The sequence below is a fragment of the Homo sapiens genome, chromosome 15 (assembly GCF_000001405.40).
Source record: "Homo sapiens chromosome 15, GRCh38.p14 Primary Assembly".
Classification (NCBI taxonomy): Eukaryota; Metazoa; Chordata; class Mammalia; order Primates; family Hominidae; genus Homo; species Homo sapiens.
In genome coordinates, this window is record NC_000015.10 from 85,729,167 (window position 1) to 85,751,685 (window position 22,519).

A 22,519-nucleotide genomic window follows, 5' to 3' on the forward strand; every position below is an offset into this window, starting at 1 on the left:
CACGTGCCTGTAATCCCAGCTACTTAGGAGGCTGAGGCAGGAGAATCGCTTGAACCCGGGAGGCAGAGGGAGGTAGAGGTTTCAGTGAGCCGAGGTAGCACCACTGCACTTCACTTCAGCCTGGGTGGCTGAACAAGACTCTGTCTCAAAAAAAAAGAGTCTGGTCGGTTGGTGGTAGGACAGAGTAAGGAGACAGAGTCTCTCACAGGTTTCCAAATCAGGTGACCTGGAAGATGAAGAGTTGTTGACTGAGAAAGAGATTCCACACTAAAGGGAGGAGGTAGTGGGCTGGAGAAAAGATTGGTTTCTCACGTGCTGAGAACAAGGCATCTCAGTAGAGGTGGCCACGTGGGCGCCATGGTCTGCTGCTAAGAAAGGGGAGGGTTTTTGATGGTTTAATGAATTATCAGCATATAGAAGGTCATTGAAGCCATGGGGATGAATGAGATCCTCAAGAGGAAAGTGGGTAAGGTAAAGAAGACAGCTCAGGCCAGGTGCGGTGGCTCACACCTGTAATCCCAGCACTTTGGGAGGCCAAGGCGGGCAGATCACCCAAGGTCTGGAGTTCGAGACCAGCCTGGCCAACATGGTGAAACACCATCTCTACTAAAAATACAAAATTAGCCAGGCGTGGTGGCACATGCCTGTAATCCCAGCTCCTTAGGAGGCTGAGGCAGGAGAATCGCTTAATCACTTGAACCCAGGAGGTGGAGGTTACGGTGAGCCAAGAGTGCACCATTGCACTCCAGTCTGGGCAATAGGAGCGAAACTTTCCGTCTCAAAAAACAAAAACAAAAACAAAAAAAAAAGAAGACAGCTCAGGATGGAGCTGAGACAGGAGCCCAGATAAGAGATTCCATTGCAGATGGCAGATCTGTAAAGTGTCCTGAGAAAGAATGGTAGGAAGAGAACTGGTGTCCTAAAAGCTAAAGAAGGAAACATGTTTTAAAGGAAGAAGTAATCATCAATGCTGGAAAAAACAACCTAAAAGACCTCATTGGATTCAGTCATGAAGTTGAGCTGGGAAAGCAGTTGCAGAGTGGACAGAAGCTAGAGAGTAGTGGGCTGAGAAGTAAACAGGGGACACGGGAGTGGAAGCAAAGTGCAGACTTGTTATGTCACAATTTCCATGGTTTGCCAGAAAGATCCAGAATGGTTTTCCAGATAGAAATCACAGAACAGAAACAATATTGCTGTCTTGATGAAAAAGAAAAGGCAGTGTGGGTGGGGAGGGTGTCCTGTCTTGTCACTTTCCATAAATTACCACAAGGTGGTGCTCGTGTCTTAGTCATTCTCGTAATTACTAAACACCAATCAAATCACAGATCATTTTCTCCTTCCTGCAGAACAACTTCACCAGAAGGACCAAAAAATCCTACTCTTGTTGGAAGAGAAGGAGATGATTTTCCGGGACATGGCTGAGTGCAGCACCCCTCTCCCAGAGGATTGCTCCCCAACACATAGCCCTAGAGTTCTCTTCCGCTCCAACACAGAAGAGGCTCTCAAAGGAGGACCTTTAATGAAAAGTGCAATAAATGAGGGTAATTAACATTCAGCATTGCCCCCTCTTCATCTACTCCCAGAGTGGTTTACACACTAATATTACCTGCCAGTTTTTACTTTTTTACTTTAAAGCACAAATGCAGAAAATTACCCAAAACAAATATTTCACTATAGTAAATTATCAGGTGAATATCCTTTTAACCACTACTCACATCAAGAACTTAAAGGGGCCCTGAAGCCCCTTCCTCCACATGCTCTGTCCCCATCACACCTCCCTCCCTCCAAAAGGAGCAGTTATTCTGACTGTTTTTTAATTAGTCACTTATGCTTTTTTTTTTTTTTTTTTTTTTTTGGCAGGATCTTGCTGCTCTGTTTCCCAGGCTGGAGTGCAGTGGTGCAACCTCGGCTCACTGCAACCTCCCCCTCCTGGGTTCAAGTGATTCTCTTGTCTCAGCCACCCAAGTAGCTTGGGACTACAGATGTGCACCACCACACCCAGCTAATTTTTGTATTTTTCACAGATACAGGGTTTCACCATGTTGGCCAAGCTGGTCTCAAACTCCTGACCTCAAGTTATCCACCCACCTTGGCCTCTCAAAGGGCTGATATTATAGGCGTGAGCCACTGCACCCGGCCATTAATCACTTACTTATATATCTTTATGGCTTAAGTGCCTACTCCTAGACATTATAGTTTAATTTGCTTATGTTTTTTGATATGCATCTTAAAATTCTTAATTTACAGTTCCCCCCACCATCTTTTTTTTTCCATATAATTTATCTTTGAACAATCTGAGCTTTTTGACTTAGAGAGTTTCCCACAGTTTGGATTTTATTCATACAGTCCTGTTGTCTGTTTCCTTCAGATTTGCAGCTGGATTCAGAGGCGTAATTAATTACTCAGACTTGATCTCTTTGGTAAATTGTGCCCTTATAGTGTTGTGTTCTTTCATTGAGGAGGCATAAATATCTAGTTGTCTCTTTTTTTGTGACATATAAGAAAAGATAAAAGGATAAATTCTTGATTATTTTTCCCCTCCATTTATTTACCAGTTTTTAAGACCATGAACATCTTCTGAAAGTGACCCATAGTTTTTATTATGGACTCATGAATTGAAACATGTTTGATGGGGCCAGGCACGGTGGCTCATTTCTATAATCCCAGCATTTTGGGAGGCCGAGGCAAGTGGATCACCTGAGGGTCAGGAGTTCAAGACCAGCGTGGCCCACATGGTGCAACCCTATCCCTACTAAAAATACAAAAATTAGCCAGGTGTGGTGACATGCGGCTGTAGTCCCAGCTCCTCAGGAGGCTGAGGCAGGAGAATCGCTTGAACCCAGGAAGCAGAGGTTGTAGTGAGCTGAGATCGTATCACTGCCCTCCAGATTGGGCAACAGAGCGAGACTATCTCAAAAAAAAAAAAAAAAAACGTTTGATGGATTTCAAGTCATTGCAATTCCTAACCTTATTAAAAGCTCAGAATGTTCCTTTTGTGAACACCTCTTTCTTTGGCTTCTAGTCCTGTGGACGTGACCATAGTAGTCTTTTAGAGCTACTGGTATAGTAAGTTGTTCCAGGCTCATCTTAATTGTTTTCTGCCCCAGTCCTGGTATCAGCCATTTCTCCAAGAGTTCTGGATTCTTTAAGTGGGAAATTATATTTTCAGACCACAGTCTGGGTACTGGGAGTGGTCATTGCTGCTAGGTTGATTGTTACTAGGTTGGGCCTTTTCAGTGGACAGAGCTTGGGGAAAAACATATATATAACATTATATATATATTATATAACATAATATAACATTATATGTTTTACATCATATATAATTTAAATACCTATTGAACATAAAATGTGTATATGAAAATTTATATTTACACTTTCGAATTCACATTGATATTCTTAAACTGTGGACTACAGTGTTTGTTTTTTTAACTAAACCTATTTAGTATTACATCTCTATTTCCTTTCTTTCACATTGCAAATCCTTGTTCTTAAGGATACATCATAGAATTCGAATATTATATATTTACTTTCTGGCTTTATCCAACCTATTACTCATAACTGTTAGTAATACTAATAGTATTACTAATTACTATTGCTAATACTGTTAGTAATACTAATAGTATTACTATTACTATTAACTAATACTAATTTACTAATTACTATTGCTAATACTGTTAGTAATACTAATAGTATTACTAACACTATTTTGATAATAATATATTCTAATAGTAATGCTGCTACCACTACATATGACTTTTACTTGCTGTCCGCATTCTCCCGTTTTTGAAAAAATAGTTGTGCTGTGTCTACGCTGTCAGTTTATAACTGTTACATGCCATATGCTCTCCTTGTAAGCCTTGACCATAGTCTTTGTTCTGTAAGTGAACATACTTCATGCTTACCAGAAGTTCTTAGGTCAGTCACCCTCTAGTCATGTGGATATGTGAAGCTGATTCTCTAGCATGTGCCTCAGGAAAGGTTCATGAGAGTAATAGTCCATGAGCTCTTTCATGCTGGTAATAATTTATGCCCTTTATACTTGAAAGCCTATTTTGCTGAATATAAAATTATTGGCTTGTTCATATTTTCTTCCCCAAGGTATTAATTACTCTCAAGTATGTTGTTTTATTTTTTTTTCTGGCATAAAGTATTGCCATCAGAGACTGATAATAATTTGATTTTCCCCATGTAAGTAACATGCTCTTTGCCTAGATGCCCAAAGGATTTTTTTCTAAGTACAAGTAGTTTTACAAGAATATTCCTTGGTATTTGTTACCCTAGGTTGATGCTGTCAGGTTCACAGTGTTCTGTTTTCATATGTGGTTTCAAATTTTTCAGATTTCAGGAAGTTATTTTTGAATTATAATTTGTACTATTTTCCCTGTTCCCTTTGCTTTGGTCTTCTTCAAGGTCTCCATTTATCCTTATGTTGGACCTTCTTTGTCTATCTTCAGTGTTGGTCACTTTCTTTTAATACTTTTGATCTCTTCATCTTTTTAATGTTTAAATGGTCTTCCTTTCACCTTCTTTTTTATTAAGCCATTTTCTGCTGGGTTAATTTGCTCTTATATTCTAGTTTAGTTTTGATTTCTATAATGATTGTTTTTCTTTTGTTTGTAGCTTTGCTATTTCATTTCTGTGTTTTCTAATTCTGACCTAAGTTAGTTCTTTCATGTCTTTTGTCATTTTCTTTTCTTTCTTTTCTTTTTTTTTTTTTTTTTTTTTGAGACAGAGTTTTGCTCCTGTTGCCCAGGCTGCAGTGCAATGGTGCGATCTTGGCTCAGCCTCAGCCTCCTGAGTAGCTGGGTTTATGGGCATGCACCACCATGCCCGGCTAATTTTTTGTATTTTTAGTAAAGACGGGGTTTCTCCATATTGGTCTTGAACTCCTGACCTCAGGTGATCTGCCCGCCTCGGCCTCCCGAAGTGCTGGGATTACAGGCATGAGCCACTGCACCCAGCTGTCTTTTGTCATTTTCTTAATGTGTTTTGGTCACCTATTTTATGGACATGTCTTTCCGATGTGCTTTTATTATCTGTAGAGAAGTTAGACCCTGTGTTCTCCCCACCATCACTCCCTGTTCTTAACTTTATATGGGATTTGACTTCAATATTTTCTATTGCTCATTTTTATGTGAAATTAGTGTCTTAAGTTTACAGGTTCAGATAGCTTTTCTCACACCATAGGACTCGTCTATCATTTTTGTGTAGTTTTTCTTTTTTAATATGGCTTGTCTTATCAGATTTCCTGCTATTGGTTCCCTCCCTTATTCCACCTGGCCCTTCTTTTTCTTTATCTTTTTATTTTTCTCCTGTTTAACTTTTATTCCATTTTCTCCACTTTCTTCTTTCTGTGAGCCATACCCTAGAAAAGAACCCTAGTGGGCCAGAGTTGAGATGCAAATTCTTAGACTACTCTAGCCCCTTGAACTCACTCCATATTGGCAAAGCCAGAAATCCTGACTGTTTTACTTGCTGTTCTCAAATCAATCCATCTTACTTTCCAGGGAATATCTTCTGTCTGCTTTGGATATGATTCCAGAAGCCATGTCACTTCTAGTAAATTACTCTGCCTTCCCTGTACACTTTCAAATTTCCTAGGCCTCTTGCATATAAAGTGGAAGGTCTCATCTCTAAATTTCTAGTAGAATCCAACTAAAACACATACCCTGAGCTGAGACCCTTCTCTGAGCAAAGGAACTCACCCAGTCACTCTTTGGAACTTTCAAGTCGTGCTCTTTGTACGTATCATATATACTATGAACTTGTTTTCCCCTCATTGAAAGATAAGATGTCAGCTTTGCATGTTTCCTTTATTCCAGTGGAGATCCTTCAGGGTTTGGTGAGTGGAAATCTGGGAGGCACACTTGGGCCGACTGTCAGCAGCCCCATTGAGCAAGATGTGGTCGGTCCCGTTTCCCTGCCCCGGAGAGCAGAGACCTTTGGAGGATTTGACAGCCATCAGATGAATGCTTCAAAAGGTAAATGATGTGAAGTCATGAGCTTTTATAGGCAATCCTTGACTATCTCACACAACTCAAAATGACTTGTACTTTAGTAGCTACATCACCGCTCCCAATCAGCAAATTTCTTAGTGAGATTTCAAGACACTCAAGAGCTTGTCAGTCAGACTCATATTCATTTTGAGTAACAAAAAAGATTTTCCTAAGATCTCAGCTAAAAGAGTAATAATACATGTTCCTGCTTCCATTTCTTCTGCATCCGTAAAATTATTAATAATCACTTAGCTGCCACCAAGCAGCTCCCCCTTTTTGGGGGCATCAGTAGGTTTCAGACATACTACATCCCCAAGATGCCTATATGATATTCTTTCCTTGGCTAATCTGTTTCACAACTTTAAAAAAAAAAACAACCCTATTTTTTGTTTAGGAGGCGAGAAGGAAGAGGGAGATGATGGCCAAGATCTTAGGAGAACGGAATCAGATAGTGGCCTAAAAAAGGTATTTCTCTTTAAAATACACCATGAACCTCCTTGGCACTTTCCTCTGAATTCATAACCTTTGAAATTATTTCACTTTGATGTTGTTTTCGATGCCTGAATTGCTGCTTTTAATAAAATTATTTTCAGGGAAAATCACATTTTTAAAACAAATAGTACAGTTAAGAGCTCCACATTATTGGCTGTTTGGCCTCACTGGCTTAGGGCAGTGTGTTTACATTCATAACTCTACCATGGTCCTGGCAGGACCAGTTTCATTAGGTTTGTTTCAGGTGCTCCAAACCGACCTGACCTCCTTACAAGGTATCAGTGATAAATAGTTCAACCTCTTAAACCTTCACTACCTTAGTGAGAGGCTGTGGTAGAAAATGGAAAGCTACAGCCTAACACAGAAACACACTGAATGTCATTTTTGCATCAAGATCTTCATTTTTTTATATGTATGTTTTTTGTTTTATAGGGTGGAAATGCTAACCTGGTATTTATGCTTAAAAGAAACAGTGAGGTAAGGACATTATGAACTATTTAAGAAAATATGTGTTTGTTGTCATTGTCAAGTTAGGAATATTGTTTTTTCCTTTTTTTTTTTTCTTTTTGCTGTTACAAAGAGGCTAACTGCTGGCTATCATCTGTATGTGTAAACAATACAGTTGTCAGTTTCCTTGGCCTTTCCCCTGTCTTTGGTCCTAGGGGCACCATCTTGGAATTTTGCCAGTTAGAGAATTGCCTGCTAAGATGGCCTTTGATTCGTTTCTTTGATTCTCTGTCCTTAAGGAAGCCTCTTGCTGTTTTTTTGTTTGTTTGTTTGTTTGTTTGTTTGTTTGAGATGGGGTCTCACTCTATCGCCCAGCTCGCTGCAACCTCTACCTCCCAGGCTCAGGCAATCCTCCAGAGTAGCTGGGACTACAGGCATGCCTGCCACCATGCCCGGCTAACTTTTGTATTTTTTGTAGAGACAGGGCTTTGCCATGTTGTCCAGGCTGGTCATAAACTCCTGGACACAGGCAGTCCACCTGCCTTAGCCTCCCAAGGTGCTGGGATGACAGACATAAGCCATCTTATCCAGCGCTTCTTGCTTTTAATGAGCTTTCTCTAAATAGGGCCTGTGAAATCCCTGTGGTGGTTTCCTTTGGTCTAAGCACACTGAGTAGAATTCATAGCAGCCTTTTCTCTATCACAAGCCTGATACTAAGAGCCACAGGTCTGGAACATGGGCATTTAACTTGTGGGTAATTTGACACAGTAATTTCTTATCCTTCAAGTACTCAAGTTATATCATCATCTTTTTTTTTTTTTTTTTTTTTTCTGGGGATGGATCTTGCTCTGTTGTCCAGGCTGGAGTACGGTGGTGCGATCTCAGCTCACTGCAACCTCCATCTCCTGGATTCAAGCGATTCCCCTGCCTCAGCCTCCCGAGTAGCTGGAATTATAGGCATACGCCACTACACCTGACTAATTTTTTGTATTTTTAGTAGAGACGAGTTTTCATCATGTTGTCCGGGCTGATCTTGAACTCCTGACCTCAGGCAATCTGCCCACCTGGGCCTCCAAAAGTGCTGGGATTACAGGCATGAGCCACCGCGCCCAGCCATATCTTCTTCTTTGAGTATTGCTTTAGACTTAATATGTGTTTCATCTGTGAAGCAGTCATGGTGTCCTTCTGGAAGGATGCCCATCCCCCATCCCACCCCCAGGACTCCTTGTTGTGACATAATCTTCAGATTACTGCCATCTCTAAAATTAATTCTGAGTATCTGACTTTGTAAGCAGAATAGAAGCCGATACATGATAATTGCTTTTTAGAGTATAGTTCTCAAGGATGTTGACTGTGTTTCTTCTTTTTCTTGTCCTTGCTTTTAACGTTAAGTTAAAAGTCTCCAAGGAACTTTATTTTTGAAATTTTAAGGGGAATCTTTCCTTTTTCCCCCTAAAATACAGAAGGATATTGTTTTATATTTGTTGCCACAAAAGTCTAAATACAGTGGAGTCCTGAAGGAATCCTTCAGTGTGCTTATCTTTAAATGACAAACCTGAGCTTATGGAAGCTACTTGCTCTCTGGATCTGCTGCTTGAAATTAGCTCACAGCAGCTTCCACGTCCCAGGTTCAAGCAATTCTCCTGCCTCGGCCTCCAGAGTAGCTGGGACTACAGGCCCGCACTACCATACCTGGCTAATTTTTTTGTATTTTAGTAGAGATGGGGTTTCACCATGTTGCCCAGGCTGGTCTCGAACTCCTGACCTCAGGTGATCTGCCTACCTCAGCCTCCCAAAGTGCTGGGGTTACAGGCGTGAGTCACTGCTCCTGGCCTTGATTTTTCTTTATGGCGACTTTTCCCTCTATATTTAGTTACAAGAATCAGGGTAAGAAATAGTACAAGACCTGTTTGTTTTTCAGACATTCCAGTATGGATTAGACACTATAAATGCTTAGCTAGAGTCGGCAGGTTCTTCTGTTACTTCTGTTTATTAAGAATAAAATAAGAGGGGCCGGGCTCGGTGGCTCACGCCTGTAATCCCAACACTTTGGGAGGCCGAGGTGGGTGGATCACTTGAGGTCAGGAGTTCAAGACCAGCCTGGCTAACATGGTGAAACCCTGTCTCTACTAAAAATATTAGCCAGGCATGGTGGTGGACGCCTGTAATCCCAGCTACTCAGGAGGCTGAGGCAGGAGAATTGCTTGAACCCAGGAGGTGGAGGTTGCAGTGGGCCAAGATCGCACCACTGCACTCCAGCCTGGACAAGAGTGAAACTCCGTATCCATCTCAAAAAAAAAAGAATAAGGGGTAAAAAATTTTCTCAGAAGAGCTAAGCCTGGTAATTAAGATTTTTGTGTTTTGTTTTTAAATGTATTATAAAAGGAATACATGTTCATGGTAGATAAGTAACATAAGTTACTTGATAATAAACATAATCCCACCACTGAAAAATAGCTACCGTTAAATGTTTGGTGTTTTCCCAGCACTTTGGGAGGCCGAGGCGGGTGGATCATGAGGTCAGGAGATCGAGACCATCCTGGCTAACAAGGTGAAACCCCGTCTCTACTAAAAATACAAAAAATTAGCCGGGCGCGGTGGCGGGCGCCTGTAGTCCCAGCTACTCGGGAGGCTGAGGCAGGAGAATGGCGTGAACCCGGGAGGCGGAGCTTGCAGTGAGCCGAGATTGCGCCACTGCAGTCCGCAGTCCGGCCTGGGCGACAGAGCGAGACTCCGTCTCAAAAAAAAAAAAAAAAAAAAAAAAGTTTGGTGTTTATATTTCCAGCCTTCTACATAACATATCCGAGTTGTATATGTGTGAATAGTACAAAAATAGTTTTACATAATTCATAGCAATACTTCGTAGAGCTTCATATCTTGCTTTTTTTCCTCTTAATATGCATTAAAAACATTTCCCCAAGGCATGTTTTTACAAAGCATGCTGTTGCACAGCTTCATCTTATTGTGTACCATAATTTACTTAGTCTTTGTGATAGTTAACCGTTTTTCTACGTTTTGCTTTTAAAGCAGTGAGCCAAGAAAATCTTTGTACATACATTGTTTTTTCACAGCTCTCTGATTATTTCCCGAGTATGCCAAAATGCTTTTGAAAGGAGGTTTTGCAGTGCTTGGTACTACCCATTAGACATACAAATGCTCATTTTCATCTTTTACCAACATTGAGTATTATCATTCTTATTAAGTTTTTGTTCGTTTGATAAGTTTGGGTCATTTATTTTATTTTGCATTTATTTGATTTCAAATAAGGTTGAGTAATTTTTAATATGTTATGCTATTGGCCATTTATATTTCTAATGTAAATTGCTGGTTTGTGTTCCTGGCCTATTTTTCTACTAGGGTATTTTTTTTGTCATAATGTTCTATGAGAGCCTTTTTTAAATGAAAGATTTTTCCATTTGAATTTCTATTAGTTCTTTGCCTTTTAATTTTAATTTTACATTTTTACATAGAAATTTTTGAAAAAAATCTTCTGGTTTCTTCCATTACTTCTGTGTTTGCAAAGCCTTCCCTGTTTCAAGATTAGAAAACAGTTCTAGTTCCTTCCAGCTCTTTTTTTTTCTTTTTGAAATAGGATCTCGCTGTCTTGCCCTGGCTGGACATAAATATGGTTTATTTTTTGCCTTTAACATTTTCAGATATTTGAACCTTTTTTTGTGTGTGAGCTAAGATCTCAACTCAATTTTTTTCAGAAATTTAGCCAATTTTCTCAGAACAATTAATTGAATATTCTTTCCATTAATTTGAAATGCTATTTACATGCTAAATTGTTATGAGAAGTTTCTGGAATTTCTGTTCTGTTGCGTTGATATGTATGCTGTTTTTATTCTAGTCATTTTAAGTAATGGAAGCTTTCTATTACATTTTAACTTGTGCTGATGTTCCTCCTATACATAGGTCACTGTGGTCTTCGTTTGTTTTTCTTGGCTGCTGGTGCTCACTTAGTTTCTTTGGTGCTTTCAATTTGAAAATATTTCATAAAGATATAAGCATTTAGTTGTATCTTAAAGGAGCCATCTTATCAGGTAAACATTAGTGTGATGGATTCTGAGATTCATAAAGCCCTGAAACGAATGTTTCCATTTTGTTCCTTTGGCAGCAGGTTGTCCAGAGCGTTGTTCATCTCTACGAGCTCCTCAGCGCTCTGCAGGTGCGTGCCTTCATCTTCCATCCCTGCGTTTATTTGTCTAGAGAACAGCAGCTTGGGGCTGTTGTTGACTTGGATCTTTGAGGTTTGCAGGATGTTTAATGGATAAATGGGGCCCTCAGTCTAGGGAAGACTGGCTCTCGTGGTGAGAAAGTTACAGAATGCATCGACCTTCCAGGACTAGAATTAGTGAAGAGCTGGTGTGCCGTAGGCATGGCTTGATAACCATGCTACAAATCACATAGCATGCTAACATGCATCTGGGAGATTACTTCACTTTAGAAAGCCTTAAGTATGATTATAAGTTTCTATATTCCGTATCTCTGTGGTATTTGAATAGAGTGGCCTTCCTAATACAGCTTCTGTTTCGGACTTCCCAGGAACATCCTCAAATTCTGCTCACTTCCTTTCTTGAAGATCTAACCTGTCTCGTTCCTACTTTCTCCCACTTCCAACACACACACACACAACCCACCCACCCACACAGACACACACACACACAACCACCCCCCCCCCCACCCCAGGTAATACCACTGACTGCAAACAGCATGCAACCAGATTGACAAAAACCCGTGAGTTCCTGCACCTTTGAGGTTCTTGTATGATAAACAGCTGCAATTATCCTGGAGCATTTTTATGAGACGGGCTTGAAAAATGAGGGGAGAGTTCTAGTCCGTCATAGTGCCTGGTGCCCCCTGCTGTGGGGTCGGGAGGGATCCAGAAGCTCGCTGTCGTCCTGGCCAGAGTTGCAGGGCTCCCCTCTGTGTGCCTCCCAGGGTGTGGTGCTGCAGCAGGACAGCTACATTGAGGACCAGAAACTGGTGCTGAGCGAGAGGGCGCTCACTCGCAGCTTGTCCCGCCCGAGCTCCCTCATTGAGCAGGAGAAGCAGCGCAGCCTGGAGAAGCAGCGCCAGGACCTGGCCAACCTGCAGAAGCAGCAGGCCCAGTACCTCGAGGAGAAGCGCAGGCGCGAGCGTGAGTGGGAAGCTCGTGAGAGGGAGCTGCGGGAGCGGGAGGCCCTCCTGGCCCAGCGCGAGGAGGAGGTGCAGCAGGGGCAGCAGGACCTGGAAAAGGAGCGGGAGGAGCTCCAGCAGAAGAAGGGCACATACCAGTATGACCTGGAGCGACTGCGTGCTGCCCAGAAACAGCTTGAGAGGGAACAGGAGCAGCTGCGCCGGGAGGCAGAGCGGCTCAGCCAGCGGCAGACAGAACGGGACCTGTGTCAGGTAATGGGACTCCCTGCCGAGAGCAACCTAATGATGATATTAATTAAGACCCCCTGTGTATTAAGCAAGGTAAGAAAGTGAGCAGAAATATAGAGCCTGTTTTTGGCCAGATGCTCATGCCTGTGATCCCAGCACTTTAGGAGGCTGAGGTGAGAGGGTAGCTTGACCAGCCTGGGCAACAGAGGGAGACTCTGTCTCTCCTAAAAAAAAAAAAAAAAAAACAAACAAACAAACAAAAAAAAAAAACAGTTTTTAAGAATCTTTGTAGCTGGACACAATGGCTCACACCTATAAATCCCAGCACCTTGGGAGGCCGAGGCAGGTGGATCTCTTGAGGCCAGGAGTTTGAGACCAGCCTGGTCAACATGGCGAAACGGCGTCTCTACTAAAAATACAGAAATTAGCTGGGTGTGGTGGCAGGCGCCTATAATCCCAGCTGCTTGGGAGTCTGAGGCATGAGAATCGCTTGAACCGGGGAGGTGGGGATTGCAGCGAGCCGAGATCTCGCCACTGCACTCCAGCCTGAGCAACTCCGTCTCAAAAAAACACACACAGAAAAACAAAAAGAATCTTTGTTTTACCCCGAAAGAGAGGCAGAGGCAGAAAGTCTTCTTCTGCTTTTTGCATCTCTAAGAGGCTGAAAAAGAGAATGGAAGTGCTGGGGCATTTTGGCCAGGGCAGTAATGGATATTTGGAGTTGGCACTTCCCTCAGCTAGAGGAGTCTCAGTGTGTCTGAGAAAATGGCAGTCAGCCATCCAGGATTTTAGGAGCAACGCCACTGCTCTGTGCCACATCAGAAATCAGGCATGGCCCCAACCTGAAGGAACTTGTAGCTTAATGGGGAAGCACACCAAGAATAAAAGAGCCTCCAGAACATGTGGTGCCTGTGGTCCTGAGACAGCAGGAAATGGCTCTCAGGCCAGAGTTGCTGGAAGAACCCATGTGGCAGGATCGGTGGGAGGCAGTTACAGAGGGAAACGCCCATCCCAGCAACTAGGGGAGGCCGCCACTCCTCTCGTGGATGGATGATATTCTTGCTTGGGGATGTTGAGACAGCTGCACTCTGCATAGTTCCTGATTTGCCTCTCTACTGCTGATGAAAAACCTCTCTTTCTCTATAGCTGCTGCTTATATTGGAAGGCTTTTGGTTATTCAGCACACTCACTCCTGAGCTTATTTCAGTGATATTCCTTGGTTATTTCGAAACATGGATGCTTGTGGCAGATGGAGAGCCTGGGTGTACACAGATCTGCCTGTGTTTTGAAATGCATACCATGTTGCCGTTTGTTTGATTGATTGATCTTGGACCACGAAAGAAAATTATACTGACAGCTTCCAGGGTAGGGGGCAGTTGTAGCTTTCTGCAGATGTTGCCAAATATATTGGGGGTGGGGAGCAGCAAATGCCATGTGTTGCTTTTTATGACATAAGGAGGGATTCCACCCCCATCCCAATAAAATCGGTGCTTTGACAAAGGAGGGTTCCCAGGCAGCTAAGAGAACCCAGAGTAGATGATCCTCTTTATCTCTGGTTTAACCTGTGACTAGGATTCTTGGTGTAAGCTCGGCTTTTCCACTTATCCTCTAACCGGAACAGGCTTCTATAATCTCTTTGCCTTAAAATAATTATCTGCATCCCTGTGTAGAGCAATCTTAAGCAGCTCTCCTTGTTTCTTCAGGGAATGGGAATTCTTTTCTAAGTCGCCCCATCAAAGGTACTATTGGTTTTTTACAACGCCGGCGTTTGTGTATGTAGTAAAAGTATTAACAGCATTAAAGGCGATATTTTTAACATGTTTATAGATACTACTTGGGGGAGGGCAGCTAATGAAACCTTCAAGCTCTATGCAGTCCACAGACGTGAGCTCTGTAGAGTTCGCAGAGGTGGGTAAGTACCCAGCCAGCACACCCAGTTGAATTCAGCCAGGATTTATTGAGTTGGCATCACGGACGCTGACAGCCTCCAAGTGAAAACCCTTCTCTTGAATATGTACAGGTTTCCCATCCACATACCAAGCTGATGAGGATCCCATCGTTCTTCCCCAGTCCTGAGGAGCCCCCCTCGCCATCTGCACCTTCCATAGCCAAATCAGGGTCATTGGACTCAGAACTTTCAGTGTCCCCAAAAAGGAACAGCATCTCTCGGACACACAAAGATAAGGGGCCTTTTCACATACTGAGTTCAACCAGCCAGACAAACAAAGGACCAGAAGGGCAGAGCCAGGCCCCTGCGTCCACCTCTGCCTCTACCCGCCTGTTTGGGTTAACAAAGCCAAAGGAAAAGAAGGAGAAAAAAAAGAAGAACAAAACCAGCCGCTCTCAGCCCGGTGGTGAGTCACGCACACCTGCTCTCCCTGTGGCCATAGTGTCTGTGCATTCTGAGAGAGGGTAGATTTTAGTGGCATGGGGCGGGGTTGAAAAGGGGACAGTTCAGATGCTCAAAAGCCAAACTGCCATCCTTTTCACCAGCTCCGCTTGCTAAGAGCACTCATGCAGCGAACATTAAGAACCCACTCTGTGTGGCACGTGTGCAGAAGCAGAGAGCATGGGTTTCATTTTCAAGGCATTATCCGATCGAGGAACTGGAGCTCACCCCTCAATGAAGTAATTCAAGTCCTCCTTGCCTTTCTGGGCCTAGAGTAGTCATTGGTAACAGCTAGCATTTGGTGATTTAACCCTCAAATGACTGTATGAAGTTGGCACTGCTAACCCCAAGAGAAGTGAGGAAACTGAGGCTCACAGAGGCTAACTAATGTGCCAGCGGCCACAGAGCCTGCGGCTGAATTCCACTAAATGCCTCCCTGTTCATGTACCACTTTTTCCCCTGAATCCTTCTCTTTAGGATTGATCTCTCCTTTCTGTGTGGGAGGTTAAAGAAAAAGTACATTTTCCTGGCCTCTTCATAAATTCTAGTGATTATTTAAAAGTTAAAGGGAGCATTAGGCAGTGAAGGATATCACTTAAGAACCTTATTAACCAAATTTGTTCAGAAACCCCGGTGCGCAGAAGAGTTAATTGCCCATAAGCCCCAGTCGCCTGTTTGCATTACAGAAGACTTTGGGATGGGGAGGAAGTTCAATGAAAGGAGCAGTTTTTCTGAATTTTTTTCATTCTTGGTTTTCACATTTCCAGATGGTCCCGCGTCAGAAGTATCAGCAGAGGGTGAAGAGATCTTCTGCTGACCCTCTTCCTCTCTGCTGAGGCAGCTGCCTCCTGATCCTGGCCAGCCCACCTCTCCTGCTGTCCCCGCGTGCACAAGTCTCTTACACTGGACGCCCACTGCTCCTCAGCGTCCAGTCCTCCTGGGCGGCCCCAGGTCCTGGACAATAAGCAACAGATGATATTGAGTGTCGGGTGGGGAAGGAGGCCCAGACTCTGCTTCGGCCATGATTTGTGACTGCCCAGGACTCTCAGGTTGGGCTGGCCCTACTCAGGATTACACTGAAAGTAATGGCCTCGTAAGTACAGGTGATGGTTTTGGACACGTCAGGAATTCCTAAAGGCTGAAAGAGTGTATCCAAGTAAGGTCTGAACCTCCGAATGCCTTTTATTTGGGGGAACACAAAACCAAACAGCAGATGTTTTGGACTTGATCTGTGTACGTACATGGGGACCTGTCTGCATATACACACGGGGAATGCCAGAAGAAGGCCCAGTCTGCACCAGGCGTCTGGTCAACTTAGCACAAGGGCAGTGCCTGGACGGACCCGGAGCCCCCGCATATCAGCAGTTCACCCAGTACTCCTCAGAGACTGGTTTCCCTCTAAACCCATCCCGGGCACATACCACCCGTGTTTTGCATGTATTTCTCATTTCATTTTAGGGATGACAAACATTTGTGAAACCAGTGAGAGAAGGCTTGATGTGTATAAAAGACGTGATGTGCACCACCTCGATCTCGGTGTTTCAGGCACTAAAGCAACAAAACAACCCATAGTATCTCATTCTGTCATCAGATCCAGAAGAAATATCCTGGTTTTCCAGCATGTTTACCCACATGTTTTGGCCATGGATAAAGTGAAGAGGCCTACTCACCATTATCCCTGCAGCGTGACACCTTTTGATTGTCACTGACCACTCAGAAGGGGCCACGGCCTCCTGGCTGTGTTCCTGAGCCCCCGTCGTGCCTCTCCCAGACAGCAGCTGTCTGGCCCTTGCTGGGTGAGGGCACACCACTGCCAGGGGTCAGCCTCGCACCCAGGCCAGGCAGAAGCTGTGCTCTGAAGCTAGGACAGCTGGCTGAGAAGTGGGTTCAGGCGAAGGGTGAAGCCATGTGTAGCAGTTCCTGCCAGTGCAGATCTGGAGAGGAGCTGGCCCGGAAGGCGTGGTTGTGAAAGCGCCCTTCTTATGTTAGGAGGCCTTGGCAAAATTGGATTTCTTCAAAAATACATGTAAAGGTCTGTTGTTGAATTGTACTCTGCCCCTGGAAGCAGATACAGATGGCTGCCTGCTGCTCGGCTTTGCTTTTGCTTTTCCCACCGTGTTTTCATCTTTGTTCACTTGAGGCTTTCCCCAGCTGGTGTGTGCAGGACAGTTCATGGTAATGTTGCCCTCTGAGGCCCCGTACACCAGAAGGGAGGCCCTGGAAAATTTTGTGCTTCCAACGTGGCCTTCAATTCTTGCTTTTTTGCCCCTCGGAAGCATGGGGCTTTTGAGCACACTTAAAAAAAGAAAAATCTGTAACTTGGTGCTTATTGATGAATTGCAAGCTGGCCTTGCAGATGGAGATATTTATCTTTCAGTTTATTTGAAAGAGGTCTGGTTTAAAATTTGTAGCCTACATTTGTTTTATTTATTGTATTTGTGTGTTTGTGTTTGTTTTTTTTTAAGGGTGAGCCAGGTCTAGCCCAACAGTCTAAACTATCCAGTCAATACCGAGTGAAGTGGCAGCCAGCACTGTTCACTCTGTGTCTTTTGAAGTGCCTTGAAGGCCCAGATGAAATTTTAAAGGGAGGGGGTCCATGTCCTTCCCTCCCCCACCCCGCCTCATTCTTTAATCAAAGGATGTCTTCTCCCTTGTTTGAGAATGAAGAAACTCGCCACCTCTGACCTACCTTTGCCTTTTTCTGTCATGGAGAATACTCACCCTTCAGAAACAGACCAAAGGCCAAAACCTGCTGATTTTTCTATTGAAAATATGTCCCCTTGCAAAGACCCTAAACAAAAAGTTAAGTTTCTTTCTTTCACCTATTTGTACAACTCCAAGTTACAGCTGAATCTGTCGTGACTTTCCTGAGATCTACCCGGGGCTTGGCTGTCTGTTCTGGGCACTGGCTCCGAGTTCCCCTCCTGGGATTTGCAGGAGGGCAGTACTGAACCTGCATTCTTCTCCTTGTAAATGTAGGCCGGGTGCCCCTGTTCTCCGGGTTTGGAACAATACGAGGTTGGTGCTGATGGGATTTACTTGCGTACGTGCTCTTCACAAAAACACCGTGGATGCTGAAGTTAGAGCACGTCGCCACAGAGCTTGACATCAATGTTAGAGGGTCTCTTACTCCCCGCCCAGCTGTGATGTTTCATCTGCTTTGGTTGTTTTGGTGGTCTTTTTTAAAAATAGAGATTTCACATCTGCCCAGACCCCACTCAAAACGATTTGGTCAGGTTCTGGTTGGACAAGTTTAAAATCAAAGTAGTGCCCGGAATTCCCTCAAACCACCCAACTTCATCCAGGAATACAGTCTGCAGTGCAGCAACAGAACCGCTTACCAAGAACTGTGCTTACATACCTTTGTCATCTCTCTTCCCCCCTTGGAAGTTGTCCTCAGGGGGATTTGTTCCTGTCCTGGGGATTTACCTGGGATGGTGGCTGCCTGTGCTTTTGCTCATGGCCTTGACAGTGCTCTAGTTGCTGGATCTAATGGCCTGTCTTGGTTTCTATCACATGAGAAGGGGTTGTTTTTTTGGGGTGACTCGGACTGAATTCCCCATACTGTTTCCACGCCGGGACACCATGTTCTCCATCAAGCTAAAGAAATCACGTGCCTGAAACTGTGCTTAAGTTTTGGGGGAAAGATGGAGTTCCTATCCAGAGCCCCCAGATTTCCAGAATCGAGTGAGCTTCCTGGAAGGAGACTGCGTCTTCTCTCAATTCCAGTCATCTCAGTCGTTGTCGTTAGGTGACATGTGCACTTTAAATGCTCTCATCGGTTGGCTTCATTTTCAAGACAATCAAATGTATTGACTGTGTTTTCTTCTTAGAAAATGGAGAGGGTTAAAAACATGCAAACTGCCACTTTCAACCTTTGCCAGTATTCCCTCTACCCCCGTGAGAGCTATCTGGGGGGAAGAATCCTTACCAAGGTTTTTTTGGAAAGGTACGAATCTTAACTTTTTTCCCCTTCTGTGTCTCAGGGTAATACTATTCAGAGTCGCCCCTTTGCTCATTTTCTCCCGTATTTGTTACCTTCCTGAGGCCTCAGTATTAGTCGTGAGCACAAAGTTTTGAGACCTTTGGCGTTGTTTCTTGATGTGGGAGGGGAGGTGTTAGTGCATGCAAGGGTTGAACTAGATAGACCCTGCCTTAGTAGAGGGTGGGACTATAACCTTAGAGGCCAGAACTTGATCCAGAAGTTGCTGTCCACAGAAGTGCTTTCTATTTCATCATTTTTGTTTCTAGGGCTCTTTTTCTGTAGCCAGGTCTTCCCAAGGATTTTAGTATTTGCATTGGAGTTGAGGTTTACTCTAATGATGGTGGCCCAGCTGTGCCCAGAGGACAGCCAGGCAGGCCCTGGGAGGGAGTTTAGAAAGACAGTCCTGGTGAATGGGCTTCAAGTGGTCACAAAGAGGGTGGCTGTGAGGTGACCCCAGACACTGCAGAACGATGTGCACCCTCTGCGTTTTGGATGTCCTTGGAATGTGGGAGCCTAGAAATAACCCTGTGGATGGAATTGGGGCAGCGGCTGCTGGAGATCTGTGTGCCTTGCCTTCCTTCAGCAGGACCGTCTAGGTGCGCAGCCACCTATGGATGCGTCCCAGCCAGCCCCGTCGCTCTCGTCCATCCTCAGAGACAAAGAAGAGGGCAGGGAGTTTGGGCTTGGTTTTGAACTTTCCTTTCAATGTAGCAAAGCATTCCTAGTTAACCAGAGCCTTGGAATCTACTGCCTGCTGGCCAGGCTTTAAAATGAAAAGTGTTTTAATGCTGCCATAAAAGGGAGGCGGGGGGGAGGAAGGGAAAATAAAGGCATCTTTCCAAGTACTCATCTAATTTAATTGTCAAAAGATTGATAGGCCATGAATTACTTCTCCATCTCACTAAGGGTTAAAGGCGTGCAACCCCCCACTGGCTGTGTCCCCTGCCACCGAAGTGAGTGACCTGCCCTACAACCAGGTGGGACCACCTGTGCTGCAGTCCGGAGGGGCTTCTGCAGGAAGCACTCACCCCCCACACCTTCCCCGGCCTGAGCTTCCCCTACCTTTCGTCACCACCTGAGGGCATGAGCACAGGCCATGGGGCGTGCCTGGTGAGTCTGCCTGTGGTTCAGGCTTAGCCTGTGGTCTCCTGTGTGCTGCTGCCCGCATGGGATGCGCAGGGGAGGCGTGGGGATCCGCAGGAGGGTGGTTGGGATACACCGGATACCTCTGCTCTCATTGCTTGTTTGCAAATGCTCTATGGACATTTGTGTGCTAAATCCTATTAAATAAAAAAGACGGGTTAAAACCCAGATGCTGTATATTCATTTGTAATTATGTATAAAGTGAAGCAGTTTTAAACTGTAAAGATTTTTTTCAGTGTGTTTTCTCGAATTTTGCCACAACATACTGGCTTCGTATTTTATTTATCTTTCTTTCTAGTTACCAGCTTCAGACCCTTGTAAAGTCTCCCTCAGCCCTTTCAAAAAATAATAAATTTCCTGTGAAGTTCTGGTTGGTGCTGTGACTTATTCCTATTCCTGATTCCTGTAGAAGGGATACTCCCCATCCACCCCCATAGCTCTTGAGGAGACGCCTTATGCACCGAGCAGCTGCTGGGGACGCATTTCACTCTCTCGGAGTGGGACCCAAACCCAGAGAGTGACTGATCAGCCCTAAAGTCAAACAAACAGTTTATGCCAAGAGCCAAAACTTCCTATTTCCAGATAAATCAATACAGTGAACAGGAACTTTGCTATAGAGCCTGCGACTTCCCTTAATGTTAGTTTCTCTCTCTTCGCTAACATTCTCCACCCCGTCCCACCCCCAAACTAGAGCAACTGCCAGAAACTAATTCAAGAAGAAAGATCCTCTCTGCTTGTAGCTCCCGGCTGATTCACTGGGTCTGATCCCGGAATGTCGGGGCTCCCCTGGAGACACACAGGGCTCCAGCTGTCACTGGCTCCACCAGCACAGCCTGTGCCTTCCATTTTTAGATTAGATTACTAGCTTCCTACTCTTCCAGGTCTGCGCTTTCTGGACCTATAGGAAGACCCTTAAGTCCAGCTGGGCCTTGGAGAACTGTGCCGCTCGCAGTAATGCAGAGAACCTGGGCAAAGCTGCCTGGAGTCCCCGCTCTGCCACTTCCCAGCTCCCCGCCCCTCCCTGACAGTCACCAAAAAGAAAGTCCTGGCCAGGCGTGGTGGCTCACGCCTATAATCCCAGCACTTTGGGAGGCCGAGGTGGTCGGGTCACTTGAGCTCAGGGGTTCAAGACCAGCCTGGCCAACATGGTGAAGCCCCGCCTCTAGTAAAAATACAAAAATTAGCTGGGCGTGGTGAAACCCCATATCTATCTACTAAAAATACAAAAATTAGCCAGGCGTGGTGGCACATACCTGTAATCCCAGCTACTCGGGAGGTTGAGGGAGGAGAATTGCTTGAACCCGGGAGGCGGAGGTTGCAGTGAGCCGAGATCGTGCCGCTGCACTCCAGCCTGGCAACAGAGCGAGACTCTGTCTCAAAAAATAAAATCCTGCCCAGCTGCCAAGTGTCTTTCCTTTCACCACGAACTTGGAAGTGCACGGGTTTCTTTGCAGAGTCTTGTAGCCCTGGTGATAGCTGCCTCCCCATAAGCCAGTAAAACACTGGTCTTTTTTCTCTCGCTCACTGCTCTTGGCTGTCACTGCTGCCCTGGCGGTCTCCTCCCCCACAGCAGCCATCCTGGCCTGGGTCCGCGGTGGCCCTCATCCACCCAGACACCCTCAGCAGGGCAAGAGGAGTGGTTCCCATGGCCTCCCTCCTCCGCTCTCCACCGCAACTGGTTCTGAGCCAGGGACAGGCTCTGTCTGGGAGGCAAGAAGAGCGAGAAGATTCCATTCTCTTCCAGAACAGCAGAGACACAAAGCGCAGAGGGCCCCAAGAACACTAGCCAGCCATTCAGTAGGGGCTTAAGTCTCTGCCCACTCCTAACGGATGCTGCTGTGCCCAGAGCCTCTGCCACAGCACAGACTTGACCGCCAAGTGGCTCCTACGAAAGTGGCCATTTTCCGTTTGAAGGTCCCTCATCCCCAGGGAAAGCCCGTGGCCTAGGGGCGGCCACCTGTGAACTAGCAGGAGATGCTGTCTGCAGCCACAGCCCTGCCGGAAAAGAAGTGGGAGTCGCTGATGCTGCAAGACAGAGACCTAAACCGAAGTGTGGGGAGGACACTAGGAGGCCCCAAAAACCAAAAAGCCAGGGAGGAGCTTGGGAGGAGAGGAGGCATGCAGCGTGCAAGCCTTGCGATTTCCTTGGAAGCAGCCACAGAAGCAGAGGGCGGGCGAGCTGAGCTGCAGATTGTTAGACCTCAGACCTGGAACTCCCTGAACTCCCTGCCTGGGGGTGACAACCCCCTCATCCAGCCTCTGCACAGCAAGAAGTGCCTCCCCAAGCCCCCCACCTCCCCGTCCCTGCCACAGTTCCTGTTCTTTGGAGTCTTCGGAGACTCCTTTGTCCTTAAAATTTGACTCTGTTTCTTCAGGGGCACAGTGGCAGATCATCCAGAGGGTCCTGGAGCAGTCCAGTTCCAGCGCCGTCCTGCCACCCCTGTGGGTGTCCCCCCGGGCCAGAGAGGAGTGACAAGTGGGAGGAAGTGGCATGTGCCCTAAATGGGGAGGATGTGGGTCCCAGAGCCCCAGCAGCCTACCCCCTCCACCCCAGTTTGGGGCCCTCCCTTGCTGCCTGCCCGCCCCTGCCCCTTCCGCCATCCCCAGCTGCCTTTGGTATCCAAGTGACAGCCTGGGCCCTTCCCACCCCCGCTAAGGCCTCCTCCTTTCATATGGTAATGGCTTGCTCTACACAGC

At 45.4% G+C, this 22,519-nt stretch overlaps 1 protein-coding gene across 3 annotated transcripts in view; it reads left to right on the forward strand.

Moving 5' to 3' along the window:
- The window catches only part of AKAP13 (A-kinase anchoring protein 13), a 368,756-nt gene extending 348,564 nt beyond the window's left edge, over positions 1 to 20,192 (forward strand). For 2 of the 3 annotated variants that reach the window (NM_007200.5, NM_006738.6), the window contains exons 30-37: positions 1,347 to 1,541; positions 5,826 to 5,984; positions 6,394 to 6,464; positions 6,924 to 6,968; positions 11,056 to 11,106; positions 11,880 to 12,329; positions 14,326 to 14,659; positions 15,462 to 20,189. In NM_007200.5, the coding sequence (NP_009131.2) occupies positions 1,347 to 1,541; positions 5,826 to 5,984; positions 6,394 to 6,464; positions 6,924 to 6,968; positions 11,056 to 11,106; positions 11,880 to 12,329; positions 14,326 to 14,659; positions 15,462 to 15,511 (1,355 nt within the window). In that variant the 3' untranslated portion in view covers positions 15,512 to 20,189. Of the gene's footprint in view, positions 1 to 1,346; positions 1,542 to 5,825; positions 5,985 to 6,393; positions 6,465 to 6,923; positions 6,969 to 11,055; positions 11,107 to 11,879; positions 12,330 to 14,325; positions 14,660 to 15,461 lie in introns of all 3 variants that reach the window. The other variant, NM_001270546.1, reaches the window with a different exon arrangement.
- Positions 20,193 to 22,519: the final 2,327 nt, after the last annotated feature.